General features: G+C 52.5%; 1 annotated feature.

Moving 5' to 3' along the window:
• Positions 2,191 to 2,728: an enhancer, noted in NCBI's record as "H3K4me1 hESC enhancer chr16:66358401-66358938 (GRCh37/hg19 assembly coordinates)". NCBI's record gives its function as "activates a minimal SCP1, AML or CMV promoter by ChIP-STARR-seq in naive H9 embryonic stem cells {active_cell/tissue: H9 hESC(naive)}" and the evidence as "EXISTENCE:reporter gene assay evidence [ECO:0000049][PMID:30033119]".

Genomic DNA, 6,000 nt, shown 5'->3' with positions numbered 1-6,000 from the left:
ATTGGGCTTGACATGTTCATTTGCTGCCTGGTAAAAGTCCATTTGCTGGGCCCGAGCTGGCGCTGGCAGGGTGGGTTTGAAGCAGCTGCAGCAGCTGCTTAGCATGCAGTGTAAATATTAGTCTTTCCCAGAAAGAGGCTCGATGCAATTGTCTTTGGCCGATGGATGTGACCGGGCTGTTTGCCTGCATTCCATCCTGGCCCGCCTGGCTCAGCAGACCCTTCCAGAACCCTGGAGGGCTGAGTGTGGGCCAGCCTGGGTCCAACTTGGGATCCGGCTCCCAGGATACTGGTGGGGAAGTATTCCACTCATGGGCAGAGGAGGGAGAGGTGTGTGGAGCACACCTGATGTTCATGTGTGGGGAGGCCCTATTTCATTCTTGTATCAGCTTCTTCACCTGCAAACCAGGAGCTGTGACCCTCCCGGCTCTGCTTCTAACCCGGCTCCTCTGTCTGTCTGCTCATTCTAGCCTGGTTCACAGTCGCGGCCTGGCTGTGCGCACCCTGTCCCTTTCTGCCCATTCCCTGCCCTGGAGTCCCCAGACCTAGGTGTGAGCCCCGACCTCAACCTTTCCACCCTTCAGTGCACATTACCCTTTGCCCGGCTTCATGCTGGTGCTGGGGCTGTGCTGACAGGCAGAATGGTCAAGGTGATGATGTGCAGGAAGAACTAAACAAAATGATTTTAGTTTCAGGTGCTGTGACAAGGAGGGACTGGGGGGCTCCAGTAACTTCTGTGCTCATGTCCCTGAGAGGACATGAGCTGAGACCTGGGCCTCTGTGACCCTCAGTTTCCTAATCTGTAACATGGTGATGGGGACCCCCGACCCCCCCTGTTGTAATGCATAAGTGAGACTGTGTGTGCAAAGGAGCTGGCACACGGTGGAGCTGGGCCCCAGGGCATCTGAACAATCCCCACCTTCCTGCAGTCTGAATGTTCATACTGGTGACCACGTGGCCTCTACTGTCCTCAGATCAGGGCTTCCCAAACTTCTATGTGAATGAAAATTGTCTGCGGGCCTTGTGAAAATACAGATTCCCAGGCCTGCCACCACTCCCAGTGATTCAGCAGGGCTCGGGCAGGACCCTGAAATCTGCATTTTCATAGGCACCAACGGTGGCATGGGTGGCACATGAAACACAGTCTGAGGATCCTGGTTTAGACATCCCTGCAGAGATCCAGTATCCCTCCCTTAGCCCCTCAAGACTTCACTCAATCAACTAGTGGGGTGGCAGCCTTGGAGAACAGTTTCCCCAGCCCCAGCAGATCTGGGAAAGCAGCTCTGACCCGAGGACCTGTCTGGTCTCAGTCCTGGGCAGGGCTTGCCTGCTGGACCATGTGAAATGCTGTTTTGAAATAACCAGCTGCTCAGAATCCCTAAGTGTCCTGAATTGATTAATACACAGAACGTCTTCTGAGAGTCTGATGGGGAATGTGAAGTATCGCTGCTGGCCCTGGAGTCATGCTGTGGGGGGAAGTAGATGCTGGGTCCAACAAGCCAAAGGGCTTGCTTCATCAACAGGGGAGGAAAATGAGTCCCACTGAGGTGTTGGGGTGGGGAGGGGGGCTGTGGGCTGTGATACTCACCAGGACCCTTTGAGGTGAGCATTGTTAGTGTCTCCATTATGTAAATGAGGACATGGGGTGGGGCATATCTAGGATGTGTTTTGTCCACTCTGAGAGGTCCAGAGGCTCGGCCAGGGGTCCTTCCCCCCGACCCCTACCATTTCCCTCGGCCTTCCTGGTCTGAAGCTCTCTCACAGCCGAGGTGGGGCGTAAGTCACCCAAGTTCTTTCCATGTGAATGGCATCTAATCAGCATGTATCAGGCATGGTAATGTAATAACAGCTGCTAATTATATATCTCACTATTACTCCGCTGCCAGTTGTGGGAATTGAAGCCAGATGATCTGGGACCAGGAGAACTACCCCCTTTCCCCCCCTATATGTTATTTTATTCATGGGGCTGCTATTTTTTTTTTTTTAATTGCAGAATTTGGTCCTATCTGAAATTTGTTCTTCCTGCATAAGCCTGGGCCAGCCCCACCCAGCCAACTGCCAAATCTGCTACAGCCTGGCCCTGGGAAAAAGACAGGAGCCCACCATGGTCCTTGTTTGGGGGGCTACCAGCCAGTGCCAAGGAGGGGTTGACTCACAGGCAGGCAGGGCCATCTGCCTGGGCTCCCTCCTCCCTGGCTGTGGCTGGCGGCTGGAGTCTATTTTCTCCACCATCGCCACCCACTGGTGATTCGCTGTGAATGGCCCAAGGCTGCAGCCCGCATCCTCAACCCCAGCCAGGATCTGCTTAGACAGCAGCAGGGTGAAGGCAGAGTTCCCCCTCCCCCAGCCGCCAGACGAATTACCCCAGTCTGGGCAGCCCCTGGCTCTGCCTCCCCTGCTCCCACCTCCACCTCTTCCTAAAGCCTCTAGGCCTCAGTTTCCCCATTTACAGAATGGAGACACTAACAACACTCACCTCAAAGGGCCCCGATGAGGTTCTCAAGCCTGGGTGCACATTGAGAATCATCAGGGTGATTAAGGCAGGTACTGAGCTTGGGTCTATCCCGAGTCCCTCCTGGATCAATTTCATCAGAATTTCTGGTGTGAGAGATCTGAATATCAGCAGTTAAAAAAAAAAAAAAAAAAAAAAAGGCGGCCGGGCGTGGGGCTCATAGGTGGGCGGATCACCTGAGGTTGGGAGTTTGAGACCAGCCTGGCCAACATGAAGAAACCCTGTCTCTACTAAAAATACAAAATTAGCAGGGCATGGTGCCGGGCGCCTGTAATTCCAGCTACTGGGGAGGCTGAGGCAGGAGAATCACTTGAACCTGGGAGACGGAGGTTGCAGTGAGCTAAGAGTGCGCCATTGCACTCCAGCTTGGGCAACAAGGGTAAACTCTCTCAAAAAAAAAAAAAAAAAAAAGAAAGCTCCAGGCGAGTCCAGTGTGCAGCTGGGAATGAGAACTGCTCCTGTGCGGAAGCTTCTGTGACACGGTCTGCTTGTGGCAGAATTCAACAAATGAGAGCTCTTTCTTCCTTATTGTTTATTGTGTTACAAGTATTAGTATTAGTAAAAGTATTAGATTCTAAGCCACTCATTTGAAACCAGTGGACTAAGAGTTTTATTAATTTTAAAAAATCCTGTTGGGCGTGGCAGTTCACGCCTGTAATCTCAGCACTTTGGGAGGCCAAGTCAGGTGGATCCTGAGGTTAGGAGATTGAGACCATCCTGGCTAACATGGTGAAACCCTGTCTCTACTAAAAATACAAAAAATTAGCCGGGCGTGGTGGCGGGTGCCTGTAGTCCCAGCTACTCGGGAGGCTGAGGCAGGAGAATTGCTTGAACCTGGGAGGCGGAGGTTGCAGTGAGCCAAGATCGCGCCACTGCACTCCAGCCTGGGTGACAGAGCAAGACTCGGTCTCAAAAAAAAAAAAAAAAAAAATCCTTAAGTCAATCGATCAATCAATATGCCTGTGTAGAGGCATGTGAGTAAGGAAAAGCAGGTCAGCTTTGCCATGTCCAGGAAAGAGAAGCAGGGGAGGGAGGGAAGAACACTCTGGAAAGGTAGAGGCAAGAGGACAGATATAGCCCGTGGGAGGAAATTCCCAGGACTGGAAAGGACATAGGGTTTTGGGTGCCCTGCTCATTGGGTTTTGGGGGAGGGGGAGCAGGACCTAAGAGGTACTGGCTTTGTGGAGCCCCTAGGAAGCTAATGATCCTGGGCAAAGGGGATCCCTGACCCAGCCCCACTGGGAATAAGGGGCTTGAACAGCAGGCAATGAACTCAAGGTAAACAGAGCAACCTGAGAACCGGAGGCGCTACCACCCAGATTGCACCTAAGGGTGCATCCCACCCCATCCCAAGAAGTCGAGATGAAATTTCTCACCACTTTGAGATGCAGGGCCTAGAGATGAGATTAACTGGCTATTAAACAAGTAACATGGCATTTCTGGCACGGCAATGAGGTGGCGTGAAGTTCACACCCGTAACTCCTACAAGACAAAGCAGAACAGAGTTAACCACAAACTGTGGCCCCTGAGCCGTGGTAGCACCCAGCAAAGTGGCCTGGGGCCCCTGTCTGGAGGCAGTTGAGCTGGAAGGGGGCAGGACACTCAGCGTCTCATCCCTAAAGGAGGACTTTTAGAAAGAGGCCGTGGGGGCTGTAGTCAGAAGGCCCTGCAGGGGTACTGGAAGTGGCCCCAGAGGGAGAGAGAAGGTGGGTCCCTGTGCCGAAAGGGCAGGATGGGGTGCACTTCCCAAACCGAGATGGGCATTTAGGATGACCTGGGGAGACTTGTTGAAAATACAGATTCCTAGGCAGCACCTAAATTTGGATACAGCTGGTCTGGGGCCTGGGAATCTGCATTGTCAGCAAGCTGCCTGAAGAGTAGAATGCTCACCCAGGCTTGAGCATCATGAAGGCTGGGGAGAGGCAGGAGCCAGGGCTGCCCTGAGTAAATGTGGAGACTCCCAGCCTCCCCTACTACTCCTACCACTCCCTCCCTTCCCCATCATTCCCTGCCCCGTGGGTCACAGGGCTATTCCTGTACCCCCTGGGAGCGCTTGGCAAACACCCTTCCTGCTCTCTGAGCCTCCTGTGGCTCTCCTGTGGGTGTCCCCTTCCCAGGCTGGGGCCAGTTTACCCAGGGGAGGACCAGGCTCTGCAAAGGGTATATGTGTGTGCTGAAGCCACATTTGCTTGAAATTAGCTTTTCTTTTTGAGTCCATTTCATTCTCCTAATGCTCAAATACGACACACCGCTGTGCCATTCTGTTTGCAGATCATTTTTCTCTCTGATGAGCAAACGCCAAGTAAATGAATAGAGGGGAAAGAAAGTGATACATTTAGAGAAATAAGGAAGTGAAGATTTCAGTCAGGCACAGTGGCTCACACCTGTAATCCCAGCTACTTGGTAGGCTGAGGCAGGAGGATTGTTTGAGCCTAGGAGGTTGAGGCTTCAGTGAACTATGATCGTGCTGCTGCACTCCAGCCTGGGCAAGATAGTGAGACCCTGTGTCTTTAAAAAAAGGCCCCCCCAAAAAAATAAAAAAGGAAAGAAATGAAAATTTCAAACCTGGTGCAGGCTCAGGGGCAGTGCTCACACGGCCCATCCCACTGCCTTGAGGGTAGGGCCACTCTCTCTAGTCTGGTCTAGTCTTGTCTACTGGTCTAGTCTGGTTGCAGGAGAAGTGGCTGCTCAGGGCGGGTGGGATGCAGGGCTTTTTCTGATGCTCAGCATCATCCTAACCAAACCAGTCCTCTCCACCATCAGCTTCTTGAACCACTTGTCTTGATCTTGTATGTGACATCCGCACCTTCACCATCACCTGCTCTACATCCTTCCATAGCTCCCCATTTCCCTATTGCCCTGGGACCAGAGGCCATATGGCGTGACCTTCAGGAACTCTGCATCCACTCTCCCTTCCCAAGTCCTTCGCTCTCCAAGTGCTCGATGTAGAATTTGTTGAGTGTGTGAATGAATCACCTCCACATGTCTTGGATGGACCCATTTTCCTGGCGCCTTTGCTCTTGCAGTTTCCTCTGCCCCGAGCACCTCTGCCTTCATGTGCACAGTGCACCTGCTTCCCCAGCTGAAATGCTTCCTCCTGCACCCAGCCTTCTCCCAAGCTGGAAGTAACCCCTTCTTCTTGTGAGCTCCCACTGCAGTTTGTCTTGAATCCTGAGCACTTTTCACAGCCTTCTCTCTTTTACCTTTGCCCATTTCCATATCTGTTTTTTTCCTGGCTATTCACCTCCCTGTGTCTAGCATGGTGCCCGGTACATTGTAGGTGACCTGTGCACAGAAGGTGTTCTGCTCTCAGCTGCAGAGGCCGTGATGGAGAACATATGTACCTTTTGAGACCTTAGGGGGAACCTGGCATCTTCCTGCAGGACAGCAGCCTCATGGCCTCAGGTAGTAAAATAAAAAACGTGGCCTCTCTTTTAAATGGTGCCCAACCCAAGTTTCTGTCCCTAAGAAGTGGGATCTTGCTGGGTC

This window comes from Homo sapiens, chromosome 16 (genome assembly GCF_000001405.40).
Source record: "Homo sapiens chromosome 16, GRCh38.p14 Primary Assembly".
Lineage (NCBI taxonomy): Eukaryota > Metazoa > Chordata > Mammalia > Primates > Hominidae > Homo > Homo sapiens.
Note: the sequence above shows the minus strand (reverse complement) of the source record. Positions and strands in the feature narration are given on the sequence as shown.